At 51.8% G+C, this 14,159-nt stretch overlaps 1 annotated feature.

Annotated features, from left to right (window-relative positions):
- Positions 11,123-11,192: an enhancer, noted in NCBI's record as "active region_8988". NCBI's record gives its function as "activates an Ori minimal core promoter by ATAC-STARR-seq in GM12878 lymphoblastoid cells {active_cell/tissue: GM12878}" and the evidence as "EXISTENCE:reporter gene assay evidence [ECO:0000049][PMID:35858748]".

Genomic DNA, 14,159 nt, shown 5'->3' with positions numbered 1-14,159 from the left:
ACTTCACCGGGACTCCTCTCTGCAGGGGTCTTTCCTGTCTGCAAGGCCTCAGCCACCACCACTATCCTCTCTGCAGGCCAAGGCCGATGGCAGAGAAGACACCATTGCAGGACAAAGTTCACTGATCACAAGGGAGATGATGCCATCAGAAACCAGATGGCCACAGGTGCTGCACTGAAAACAGGGTCACAGTGGCAGCACAGGACTTAGAATGTGGGGGCAAGCTGAAGTCCACTTTTGTGACCTAAGGTTGGAATATAGGTGGCCTCACAATCAATGGCAATTATCTTGGCAAGCTGGTCAGCAGCTTGTAGGGAGGAAAAGCCGATGATCTGGGACAAGGAGGTCCGGGAGGGAGACATGGATGGACGCCTGGAAGTGGGCATCAAGGGTGAAGACCCTCTTCTCACGCAGCTCACCAGAACACATCCAGCACAGAAGCACTAAACAACAAAACGACTTGGCCAGCTGGCACCAGCCAGCCCTGCCATCGGCCACCCGACTGCTGGCATGAGGGCACCTGAGCAAAGTGGAGGCCCCAACAGCATGAGCTCCCACTCACCAAGGCTGGTCCAGCTACTGCCACCTTCAGACATCCAACCTGACAGAAGCAGGGACTAATGTTGAGCCCCCAATATGGCACCATGTGGTGCTTGGTAGCAAATGGACTATGTTGGACCCCTTCCACCCTGAAAAAGCCAGACAAATATTCCAGATATGCTTTTGCCTTTCCTGCCTGCGGGGCCTCAGCCAACACCACTATCCAAGGGCATGTAAAGCATTTAATCCCCTGGCACAAGATCTCCCATGACCTTCATGAGACGAGAGAACCTGCTTTATGGCAAAGAAGGTGCAGGGAGTAGTCCATGATCAGGTAACCCAGGGGTCATATCTATATCCAGAAGTGTGGGCATGATAGTGTTGGAATTGCCATTAAAGGTACAACTGAGGCCACATTTTGCAAAGATGAGGTGTCATCCTCCAGGATGCAATATGCAGTTTAAATCAAAGACCTATATATGCTGTTATGTCCCCAACAGAAAGAATACGTGGGCAAGCTCAGAACTAAGAGAATGGAAGCAAGAGTCTCTTATGGGCTCAGTTGTGTCCCCCACAAAATTCATATGTTGAAGTCCTAACTCCAATTACTTCAAAATGCGACTGTAATTGGAGACAGAGCTTTTAAAGACAAAATGAAAATCAAATGAGGTCATGGGGTGGGCCTTAGCCCAATATGACTGGTATCCTCATAAGAAGATATCAGGACACAGACACACACAGAGGAGACATGGGGAAAAAAGTGGCCATCTACAAGCCAAGGAGAGAAGTCTTAGAAGAAATCAACCCTGCCAACACCTTCGTCTTGGACTTCTAGCCTCCAGAACTGTGAGGAAATAAAGTTCCATAAATTCCATTGTCACCCAGACTATGGTTCTTTGTAATGGTGGCCCTAGTAGACTAATACAGAGACCCTTCACTTTCAGCGACTCACTTGGCGAATTTGTGCTTTCTGCACCCACAATTTGAGCTCTGTGTGTTAAGAGGTCCTGGTTCCCTAGAAGAACAGTTCCACCAAGGGCTCAGCCAGAATCCCATTAAATGATAAGCTACAAGTGCTACCTGATGCTTCAGAATCCCAAGACCGAGGAATTGGCAAGTAAGAGTGGAGTCAGCATCCTGGTGGAGCTGACTGACCACAATCAACAAGAAAAGCAGGTCGGCTGTACACAGTGAAGGCAGGGAGGAAAACGTTTGGCATTTCTTGATATTTCCCTGCCCAACTGTGATGGGCTGAGGAAGGGCATGGTGGCTAGGAGTCAGACCCTCCAAGGATGAGGATCTGGGCCATGCAACCAGATAAGAGCAGCAAAGGCACTAGCTGAGGGTGAGGAGAACCCAAAGTGGCTACTGGAGGAGGGAGATGAGATGAGGGCTATCAACTCATGGCCCTGAGGCCAGCTGCAGCCTCAGAAGCAATAGTCTCCTCAACCTTCCCCTTCTAAGTTTCTCCCAAGAAAAGAGGTCCACCCAGGATGTTGAGGAGTGATGCTCAGAACATATAGGAACAAGTAGGTCCTGGAGGTCCAAAGGGAGGATTACGGTGGACACTGTGATGCTCCACCCAGATCCCCTTCGATGGGACTTTCGCCCCAACTTCTGGGAGTGCTGTAAGCAGACAGATTTCAGCTCTCAGCTCCTGCAGGGACCACATCCGCTGCAGTTAAGTCCCCTAACCCAAGGGCACATTCCTTCCGGTGCGGCCTACATGCAATGACTAATCCGTATGGGAGCACCAAAGCCTGGCCACGTCACCCAGCTAGGGACAACAGTGATGGCCACGCTAGTTCCAAAGCTCGCCATGGGCTCCACTGAGGCTGTCCTTGGGCCTGCCCATAGCTCAGCTTCTCCCTGTGCCCAGTCTTCTTCCTCGCCCTTCCATTGCTTTTGGTTTCTATATAAATAAATGTATTTAAGCACACTGTTCATATACCCAAGCATTGTTTTTTTGTTTTGTTTTGTTTTGAGATGGAGTTTCACTCTTGTTGCCTAGGCTGGAGTGCAATGGTGCGATCTCAGCTCACTGCAACCTCTGCCTCCTGGGTTCAAGCGTTTCTCCTGCCTCAGCCTCCCAAGTAGCTGGGATTGCAGGCACCTGCCACCTCGCCTGTCTAATTTTTGTATTTTAAGTAGAGATGGGGTTTTGCCATGTTGGTCAGGCTGGTCTTGAACTCCTGATGTCAGGTGATCCACCCGCCTCGGCCTCCCAAAGTGCTGGGATTACAGGCATGAGCCACCATGCCTGGCATCAAGCATTGTTTTATAATTACACTTAATATAATTCCCCTTCCATTTCAGAACCCACACTTTTGTCCAAGGTTCTGAGCTTTATCAATCTCCATGCCCACATCCACTCATTCCCCTGGCATAGTTTTCTAGGTCGCGTTGCCTGGTAACTTACAACAATATGGCTATGGTTGTTTTTAGTGCCTTTGTACCAGGCATTTCTCCTGCCTTCTCTCATTTGATCCTTTTAACACCACTCTGAGTCAGACACTACATTATTTCCATTTCCAGTGAAGAACCTGGGTCTCAGAAGGCTCAGTTACTCACACAAGGTCATATCGTGGGTCCACAGGGAGACCAGGAGGTGCTCAGGCAGCCCGACTCTGAGTCCACTGATTCTCAATCTGCTGCTGCAGCTCTGATGCAAAACGAGGACACCTGCCTGGTGGGCCCAGCTGCTGGGAGTTTAAGCAACGGCAGATACCACCTGAAGGGAATTCTAGGTCAACCAAAGGAGGAGCTCTAGCAGTGGGATGGGCTTCTTTGAGAGGTCATGAGACCCCTATCCCTGGGAATATCCAAACTTCCACCAGGCCTACGAGAAATATTATGCTAGGCAAGCAGAAAGGTCCCAGACAACTCAAGGAAGAAAGGATTCTCTGATTCCATCCATGACATTCAAATCTCCCCGCACTGAGCTGACTCAAAGGTTCCAGCTGACAGTGATTTGAGGAGAGGCAGACTTGTGACCAGCACAGAAGCCCTGGGGCCGGGTGAAGCCTGACCTACCTCTGGAGCACTGCCAACCGCTGGTGGTGACTCTGACCGGCCTGAGAGCAGGAGGTCAGACTGCAATACTTCTGGGGTCCCTCCACGGTCTCAGTGCCCTTGACTGCAGCCCGCCAGGTGCCTAATGGATGCGGCAGATGTGCATGGGAGTGAATGCCAATCAGCCCTGGAGGGCAAACCCCGTGGAGATGCAGATGGAGGTTCACCAACCACAGCCCCTCTTCCCACGTTTCCTTTCCCTTACTGAAAAGGTGGGTGGGTTCAACACCCTGGCAGGCATGTGTGTGTGTGCATTACCTGTATACATCAGTGCCTGCTCCAAACGCCTCCTTGGCTCGTCATTAGGCATCCAGCTTCCCATAGGACCAAGGTAGCATGTGGCAGCAAGCCTGGATTTCTGAAGAGCTCAGAGTAGTTCCTCTCTGAGGCAAGCACAACTCTCAACTCAATTCACCTCTTCCTCATCTCCCCTTTCGACCAACGTGAAGCCAAGAGAATATCCGCTATCCACACAACAAATTGGATTATTCAGGGTTTCCTACTCTTACCTGAAACTCATTCACTCATTTAACTAACATATATTGAGCCAGGCCCTGTAACAGGCTCAAAGATAGAGTCAGCAAAGTTTTTCTATAAAGGGCCAGATAGTAAAATTTTGGGCTCTGTGGGCTCACCTGTCTTGGTCACAACTACTCAACCCTGCTATTGTAGCACAAAAACAGACACAGACAATATATAAACAAATGAGCATGGCTGTGTGCCAATAAAACTTTGCTTACAAAAATATGCCACAGGCCAGATTTAGCCGCATAGGCCTTAGTTTGCCAACCCCTGATCTAAGAACACAAAGAATAGATATATCTGCCTATGGGGGATGGAGGATGGAGGTAAGGTCCTTCTTGTCTTCTGAAATTTTATAAAACTAGAAAAACAAGTCTTAGGCCAGGTGCAGTGGCTCATGCCTGTAATCCTAACACTTTGGGAGGCTGAGGCAGGAGGATCGCTTGAGCTCAGGAGTTCGAGACCAGCCTGGGCAACATAGTGAAACCTTGTCTCTACTAAAAAATAAAAAATAAAAAAATAGCCTGGCATGATGTCTAGTAGGTGGCCTGTAGTTCCAGGTACTTAGAAGGCTGAGGCAGGAAGATTGCTTGAGCCCAGGAGATCAAGGCTGCAGTGATCTATAATCATGACACTGTACTCCAGCCTGGGTGACAGAGAGAGACCCCACTGAAAGAAAAGAAGGAAGGAAGGAAGGAAGGAAGGAAGGAAGGACAGAAAGATTAAGAGAGAAGGAAGGAAGGAGAGAAAGAAAGATTAAGAGAGAGGGAGGGAAGGAAGGAAGACAAGGGAAGGAGAGAGAAGGAAAAAAGGAAAGAAGAAAGGAAGGAAGGAAAGAAAGAAAGAGCAAGAAAGAAGAAGGAAGGAACGAAGGTCTTTATCAAGGAGGGAAGGAAAAAAGGAAAGAAGGAAGGAAAGAAAGAGACAGAAAGAGAGAGAAAGGAAGGAAGAAAGAAAGAAAAGAAAAGAAAAAAAGAAAAGAAAAGAAAAAAAAGAAAAAAGAAAAGAAAAGGAAGGAAGAAAGGAAGGAAGGAAAAAGGAAGGACGGTCTTAATCATAACTAACTTTAACATGCCACAGCAAAACCAAAGCATGGCCAGTGAATGACTTCTGACCCTAAACTCCTGACAGCACTGGGCAGCCCTGGGGTTTGGGTTTGAGCCCACTCTCTGCCATTTACCAGTGTATACACCACTTCCATGATGTTTGGTTTCTTCTGTAAAATGAGGCTATTTTATAGAATACAGTAGTTCACGCCTATAGTTTCACCTATTCAGAAGACCTGAGGCAGGAGGATTGCCTGAGCCCAGGAGTTCAAGGTTACAGTGAGCTATGATTTCGCCACTGAACCACAGCCTCGGTGACAGAGCAAGACCTTGTCTCAAAAATAAAATGAGAATATTAATGCATATATACATCATGGGATCACTATGAAGATAAAAATCCCATAATGTGGAAGTGCTCCCTAAATTATAAAAAGCTACAGAAATGTAAGAGATCGTCATTGTCATCCTCCAACCTAATGCAAAACTTCAGATGTGGTCCCAGCCCTGCAACTGATTAACTGTGGGACTCTGGGCAGGTCACCTCTCCCCTCTTCACCTCGGTTTCCTCGACGCTGAGATGCTCGAAGGAGATAAGGGAAGTGCATTGCACCGTGTAGAGTGTGCATTTTCTATGTTGTCTTGATGTCATCATTAGATAATAATTATTATTATCATCATTTTGTATCATTATAATTGTCTGTGTTTCTAGCTAAAAGCTCCCTAGATATTTCCGTCTGCCAAAGCCGCTGAGTAGTCTCCTTCCCTCTTTCGCTTTGCAGCAAGTCCTCCTCATTGCTCTTAGCCCAGGATGAGGCCTCTCCTTCTCTTCAAAACACTACAGTAACTGTCTCTCTGCCTGCCTGGTCGGTCTGTCTGTCTGTCTGTCTGTCTGTCTGTCTGTCTCTCCCACTGCCCTGTGAGCTCCTTGAATATGGGGCGGGGAACAAGGTCTGACTCATCTCTGTGTCCCCGCCCCTGCCCCAGTGCCTGGTGCATAGTGAGGTCTGCTGGGTCCATCTGATGAGAATCCCTGGACCTCCCTGGCCTGATGTGCTACTCCATGTTACTGCTGGCCCTCCAGGAAGATTGCCCAGCACCAACCGCCTGCTTGAGGGCCACAGAGGGGAGATGTGGATCTTCCTTGCGGTTCACATAGCAGGGTCATGCTGCCAAGGTACTCCCGCCAGGCCTCCTGCTGTGGCCCTACCCAGTCTTTCAGGTCCTCAGGAGCCACCCCAACAGCACCTCACCTCTCACCTGCTGCGGGGTGCACTCAGAGGTGCTACACACCTGCATGGCTCGCCCACGGGGCCTGAGTCCATGGCATCGGGTTCACGTGGTGGTTGCCGCTGCTGCTCTCTGGACACATGGCTTCCTCAGCAGACGCCAGTGGAGCCGGGTAGCACTCCATGTAAAAGCAGAAAGGTGATGGCTCACGGGGCAAGATGTCACCGTTGGGAAAGAGGCTTCAGTGGGTAGTCTTCTCTCTTCCTTTCCCGGGACAAACTGCTCAAAGTTGCAGTGGACAGGGCAGAAGACATTCTACCAGGACAAGCAGCTGACTGTTCTTGGTTGAAGCTGAATAACATACTCCCTTCTATTTTCTGTCCCTCTTCCTTCCCTCTGCTTCCCTGGGCCTTCTCTCCCCAATAAAGTGTGAGCATCCAAGTTTTTGCCTCAGACTTGATTTTCTAGGTGGCAAGGGCTGAGGCATGAGGGCCTAGGAAATGCCCACTTTGGTTTTCCCCATCTGCTCTCTGTCCTCTCAGAGCCTTCCAAAGCCTGAGCCGTCGTTCGCTGCCAGTCCTCAGCACCCCTCCCCCAGCCTCTCTTATCCTTCCCAGCCCAGCCTGGAGCCCACTATGCCCACCTGGGCTACATCCATCCTCAGACTGCAGACCCAAGGCCCTGGGCTCTGTCTCTCCTGGCCTCTCTGTTGCTCCCTGGATGCTGGCTGTGCAGATCACTGTCCGCATGAGTCTCCATTCACAGTGGACCTGTGTGGAGGCTTTAAAATATGTCCACACCTTCTCCGCTCAAACTGTGAAGCCTAATGCCCCCACCCCTTGAGTGTACACCAGACTTAGTAACCTGCTTCTAATAAATAGAATCGGCCGGGTGAGGTGGCTCATACCTGTAATCCTAGCACTTTGGGAGGCAGAGACAGGTATATCACTTGAGGTCAGGAGTTCGAAACCAGCCTGGCCAACATGGTGAAACCCTGTCTCTACTAAAAATACAAAAAATTAGCTGGGCATGGTGGTGGGCACCTGTAATCCCAGCTACTTAGGAGGCTGAGGCAGGAGAATCACTTGAACCTGGGAGGTGGAGGTTGTAGTGAGCCGAGATTGCACCACTGCACTCCAGCCTCGGCAACAGAGCAAGACTCTGTCTCAAAATAATAATAATAATAATAATAATAATAATAATAATAATAATAATAATAAATAGAATCATGGCATATGATTTCCAAAATGAGGCCTGAAAAGGCACTGGGACCTCCTCCTCTCCTTCAGGTCACTTGCACCAGGGGAAGCCAGCTGCCATGGAGAGGAAACTCAAGCAGGGCCATGGAGAGGCCAACTCGGCAAAGAGCAGAAGCCTCCAGCCGGTGGCCGTGTGAGGAAATCAGCTCATGCCAGATCCTCCGGCCCCGCTCAGGCCTTCAGATGAGTGCAGCCCCAACCAACATCTTGAATGAAATCTCATGACAGGTCTTGAGCCAGAACCACTCAGCAAAGCCACTCCCAGATTCCCGGTCCTCAGGAACTATGTGTGATGATAACTGTTTTCTGTTTTAAGCCTCTAAGTTTCAGGCTAATTTGTTCCCTATCAGCTGACACCATCCTATCCTTTTACTTGTCTCAGGGGCTCTCTTCCCCTTCCCCTCAGCCAAACCTCCACATCCTCAAGCATCTACCCAACACGCAATCCTTTTGTTCTCAGTGAAAAGCTTGTCTCCCACTTTATGGGGCAGGAAGAGGGGAGATGAGGCACTCAAATGTGACACCCCCAGCTCCCTGACCCACTCCCTCCACAAACGCCTGCACCTACCCCATCCTCACTGCCTTGCATCCAGTCCCAGGGGATGAGCTCCTCACTCCTGTTCAAGAGCAGCCCGTTCCCTGCTCCTGATCCCCATTGTTCATCCTCACTCCTAGCCCTGCAGGTGCATTCTCTCCACAGCCTAGAGCTGAACCTCTCATCTCTGTGAAGCCCCTTGACCAGAAGCCACTTCCTAATCCCATTCTCTCTCCTTCTCTAACAAGCACCTTGAAAGGGCTGGGCATGCCTGCCATGCATCTGCTCATTCCTCAACCACTGAGCAGTAACTGCTGCCCCTCTTCCCCAGAGCTCCTCTTGCCCCTGCCTGGTCTCCAGTTATCCCCCAGCTGCCAAACCCAGAGGTGACTCCCCAGCCCATCTCCCAGGGGCCACTTTGCAGCATGTGACACTCTTGGCCACTCTTTCTGTCCTCCAGCCCTCCTCCTCATATCCGTACCATGCTCCTTCCTGATGCCCCTAACTGGTCCTCACTGCTTTCTGTGCAGACCCTATTTCCTCCTGCTACAGCTCAGACACAGATGTTCTCTGGTTTCAGCCCATGCTTCTTTTACTCTTCCTGTCCTCCTCAAGAGAAGTCCTGACTCCCTCTCATGACAACAACCACCACCCTGTATGGATGGCTGTCAAGTTCAAGACCTCTTCCCTGCATGTCAAGACGTCTTGACACGCCTCGCCCAGACCTCTTCCCTGAGTGTCAGATTGTATCCAGCTGCCTGCCATTTCCCAAAAGCGCTTCCAAGTCACCACGTTCAGAGGATGTAATGCTGCATGCTTCTGCAGTGTCTTTCCATCTCGGTGAATGGCACCTGCAGCCACCGGCTCATGGCCAAGACCTGGGTGTCACCCTGGAAGTCCTACTCCCACTTCCAAACACTCGGCAAGTCCAATTGAATCTTCTCCCAGGAGAGTTTTTCAATGGGGCCCCTCACACTCTCCTTAGGATGCACCGTCCTGCAGTAGACCTAGTTGTCTCTAACCTGGATCCTTGGGACAGGTTCCTGACTGGTCTCTTTCAGATCTATGGGTCTAAGGGGTAGAGATCATTGGCTCTACCCTGCAGCCACAGGGAACTTTCCAGAACTCTAATCATTTTGCCCCCTTCCTAAAACTCTTCAGTGACTCCCCTTCACCCTCTGTGACCTGTCCTCTGTTAGCCCAATCACCCTCAACTCCCACCACTCCCAGACTTACACTCGAAGACTTGCTAAAACCAGTGTCTTCTTTTTGCCCGCACATTCTCTGCACAGTCTGACCTCCAGCCTTGGCTTGTATTGGTCCTTCTGCCTTGTATGCCCTTTCCACCTTTCTTCCCCTGGCCAACTCTCTGCCATTTTCCAAAATACAGCTCCTGCATCATCTCCCACAAACCCCCATTGGCAACATCCTCCTCCATCTCTACTTCAACCTTCTGACCTTGGTGTGTGGGACGTTGGGCAGAGTGAGGGTAACAGCCACCTCACCACACTGTCACCAAGACCCACTGAAGGAGAACAGGGTACTCTGCATGAGGCCTGGCCCATAGTCAACAATTCACAGCTTGTAGCAACCATGACTAGTAGTCTCTGTGCTCTCTCCAGTACCCACTGACCACCCTGTCCCCGCCCTCACGGCTCTGGGCTGCATCCTTGTCTAACTGGGAGCTTGCTGACAGAAAGAGTTGTGGCGTTGTTCCACCTCCAGAGCCTGCACAGTGCCTGGCATAGTGGAGGTGCTCAGTCAACACCTCTGAACTGGACAAGAGCTGAGAGGTGAAAGGAAAGGTAAGAAGCACCTGTCCCCTTAAGCAAGTACAGCATAATGGTCAACTTGCTGGGCCCCTCCTGCTCTATCATCCGTGACCTGTCGGCCTTGGCCAGGTGACCCCAACTCTCTGAGCTTTGGTTCACTTACCTTTAAAACAGGGGCTCTAAGAGTGCACGCAAAGGTTGTACACAGGGACAGCCATTTACCCAGGGTCAGCGTGAACCCACTGCACTTCACTAAGGCTCTGGACCGTCCTGTCCCAGCCCTGCATGGGTGCAATGGGTCCTTCACCCACTTCTTCCTGCTAGGCCTGCCAGGCAGTGTGGAGAGCCCAGGGGGCACACATATGTGCTGCAAACTTGTTCTCTTGGAAAGGAGGTATCATTTTGTCCTTGTGGTTGCCTGCAGGTGCCTGCAGACAGCCTGTCTCACTGGGGGAGGTGTGTTGGCGGGAGAAGGGGGCTGGGGAGCTGCCCACCTGCACCTGGGGTGCCTGGCCCATGCCCACCTCACTGCCTCTCTCATCTCCTCTCCCCTCTCTCCTCTCCTTAGTCCCTCTCTCCTTCCCACCCTTCTCTCTCTCTGCTTTCCCCTCCTCTCCCCTCTTTCTGGCTTTCTCCTCTCTCCTCTCTGCCTCTCGTGTCTCCTCTCCTCCTTCCTCTCCGGCTCTTGTGTCTCCTCTCCTCCTTCCTCTCCGGCTCTCGTGTCTCCTCTCCTCCTTCCTCTCTGCTTCCTCTTGTCTCCTCTTGCTCCCCTGTCTGCCTCACCTCCTCTCTGGCACCACCTCTCTGCCTTTCATTCTCTGTCTTGTTTCTGTTTCTTTCCCTCTCTTTTCTTTATTTTCCTCTCTCTCTCTGATTGCTTTATAGTCTTATTTATCACATCCTCCCTTTCTTTACTCTCCATCCTGTGCAAAGAATTTTTCCCCTGCTGCCTCCAGACAAAGTTGGTGGAGAAGAATGAATTTTTCATTTGTTTTTCCATATTCTGCTCCTGTACCCAAGAAAGTGGAACTCAGGTCCCTCTGTATGTGTCTGGAGATATGACACACCTCGATCTCTCAGTTTTGCTTTGTCACTTCCCATAAAAGTAAAACCCGTTCAGAAAGTCAGGCGCCAGGCCCGGGGAATCAGAACGGCAAGCCCATTGGCACATCCAGCGAACCTCGCCCTGATGGCAGCCACAGGAGATGGGGAGCTTCCTTTGCCTTCTGTCCCACCGGAAGGGTAAGAACCTGTCAGAATGGCTGTGTGTTTCCAAGGATGCCAGAGCTGGAAGTTAGGTTTCTAGCCAAGGACGCCAGCTGAGTGCATATGTGCACGCGAGCACACATATCACGCGCACAACAGGCACACTCACGGGAGCTCCTGTGTGGCTGTCCCCCACCTCCTGACAAATATGTTTACCAGATAAGGGTCTTGAGACACTGGAGCCCATGGGACAGGGAGGATTGTGGGGAAAACAGTCTTCCCCTAATGAACTTTTCCTTCCTTTCTCTTACTTCAAAAGAGAAACAGAGTCAGGATCAGCTCAGCTGGACTCGTTTTCTGTTTACTTTGAGGATGTCCCATCCCTCCCTGCTCCTCCATTTCCCCCAATACGACTGGGTTCCACGAGACTGGATCAGTGTCAGAGGGGAGTGCCATGGGTTTGTTCAGTGCTGCCCGAAGGGACCGGGATTGTCCCTACCACTCCCCTGGCTCCACGTCACCCTCCAGGTCTCGGTGTAAACGACCTCTCCAGGGACGCATTCCTTGCCACCCTGGCCAAACACTTGGGAGAACGATAGTGCTGCTCACAGTGCTCCCTCCCAGCCCCTTGCTTGCTCCCTTTTCAGTGCCTCTGTCAATCTGCAGTTGTCTGATTTGTGTGATACTTGTTGCCACACCTTCTCCACTAAAATGTAAGCCTCATGAGACAGGGACCGAGCTGCTATTGTTCACCAGAACGTCCCTGACACCTGGCACAGTGCCTGGCACACGGTAGGCCACCAATAAATATCTGCTGAATGAGTGAGTGAATGAATGAATGAATGAATGAATGGGATCATCTTATCCAAGCCCCCAGTGCTGGCGATGATGACGCTGAGAGGCCCCAGGGGAAAAAGCAATTGCCTGAGAGTGCACAGCCGGGGGTGCCTGGCCAGGATGAGGGTGCTGGTCCCTCCCAGCATCCTCACCCCACATCAGTTCCCCAGAGTCCCTTCCGAGCTGGGCTTCTCCCACTAACCAACAATCCTTCTATAAGAACTTCATACACCCGCCTGCTATCCTCTTAAGCCAGGCCCATATTTTCTTTGGAGTAATAATTAAAATAACATATTCACCAGCTGTTTTTTTTTCTAGATTTAATCTGCTCAGGCTCTGATTTGCATATTAAAAGCACTAATTAGCCCCTCCGAGTGCTTGGGCACGGAGAGTGCAGTAACTGGTCACGTCGTCCCTGAAGACCCATCCCCAGCGCTCTGGGCGAGGATACGGATGGCGGCGCGAGCCCTGGGCACGGAGCAGCAGCCTTTGTTTCCCAGCATTTGGGGACTGGAACGCTCCACTGCTCCATCCTTGTGGCTCTTCTTCTCTTTGAAGTGTCGTGTTTGATGTGTTAGCTTGTCTGTCAGTTTTTATTTTAACTCCTTTAGAGTGTGTGTTTTAACCCCTCTTGGTCACACCGGGGCAGAGAGTCCCCAGAGAGTGTGGGCAGCCTTCGACCAGGGGCTCCACGGTGAGCCCCAAGTCCACGGGCAGTGAGGCTGTCCTCCTTCCCAAGCTTGCTCCTACTCCTGCCTCCCAGCGAGGAGGAGAAGGGCGATTCCAGCATGCCGGTCCCTTTAAATTATTCCCTTACTGGACCCGTACAAAGGAATAGCTAATTGCGTTGTTATATTTCCTTCAAAATAAAATTGGGGAATGTGTGTGAGGGGAGGATGAGGGGCCCCGTCCATCAAAGCTGTCGGCCGTGCAGCGGGATTCTGCGCGTGCTCCAGCACACTGGACCCCCGCGGCAGCATTCAGCGTGACCCAAAGACAGCTCTGACTTTCTGCTCCCGGGGGGATGAGATCTCAGATGGGCACCTGCCTGCACTGTCCACGGCTATCAAAAGGAAACCGAGGCCTAAGTCTCGCAGGAGCTGGCAGAGGCCAGCCAGGGACCCGGCTAGGGAGACACTCCCAGAATTTCAGAAATTCCAGCCTGGCATCCCACAAGCTGCTTCCCCAGACCCCGGATCTTCACAGACGAACAGCCCCTCCAGGAAGGCCTGTGAGCTTGCGGGCCTGCGGGGGCTGGGCCACAGCAGAGAGCCAGATGGCGGCTGTGCGAGCACCAGGGGCAGGGCCAAAAACCGTAACTGGGAAGAAAGCGCTGGCAAGAGAGCCCCTTTATTTCTTCTGCCCAGGCTCGGGGTGGAATCCAGCTCCGACGGCTGGAGCCCGCTCAGCCTCCAGGCGACCGTGGCCCGTGTCGAGGCCTGCCCAGAGCACCTGTAAGAAGGCTGTTGGGCCCTCCACCCTCGAGGCAGCCCAGCCGCTCCCAGACGGATCCCCGGCCACTCTGTCTGTCCCCACCTGCTGCGCCGTCGCCTGTGCCTGAGCAGGAGCCAGAACACCCTACACCCCTTCTGGGCCCATCTGGAGTCATTTTGGTGGGCCTCCTTTGTCCGTTTCTGCACTGGCCCCACAGGCGCTTGTTGGACATCTTGCCTGCTCCAGACCCTAGGGTTGAAGATTGAGAAGGTGTCTGGGAGGGAGAGAGTGGATCCTTGACTCTGCCTCCAGCCAGAGCCCTGTGTGGAGGAGGCAGCCTTGCTGGAGAGCCGGCTGACTTTGACAGGAACGCCAGCAGGAGGCTTAGAAGTCAAAGTGTGCGCCTCACAGTGAGCACGGAGCTGGGGTGAGAGAGGAAGGAGACGGGGTCAGGCTATGCTCCGGACAGAAGACCACCACTCAAGGCTCTCTTGACTTGGTGGGGAGAAGGGGACACCCACTAGGAACGCAAGAAAACATGGAGTCAGCTAAAAAGTTTTGCGGCCCAGACAGAAACCGTGGGAGAGAGAAGCAAGGGAAGTCTTGGGTTTAGGCGGCAGAAGAACAGCAAGAAGCAGGGGGTTCCCGAGCCAGCCATGGAGGGCGGGGACCTCAGGGAGAGGGAGCCAGGGCTGACGGCCTGAAAGAG

This window comes from Homo sapiens, chromosome 14, assembly GCF_000001405.40.
Source record: "Homo sapiens chromosome 14, GRCh38.p14 Primary Assembly".
NCBI lineage: Eukaryota > Metazoa > Chordata > Mammalia > Primates > Hominidae > Homo > Homo sapiens.
This window is presented reverse-complemented; position numbering and strand designations above follow the sequence as displayed.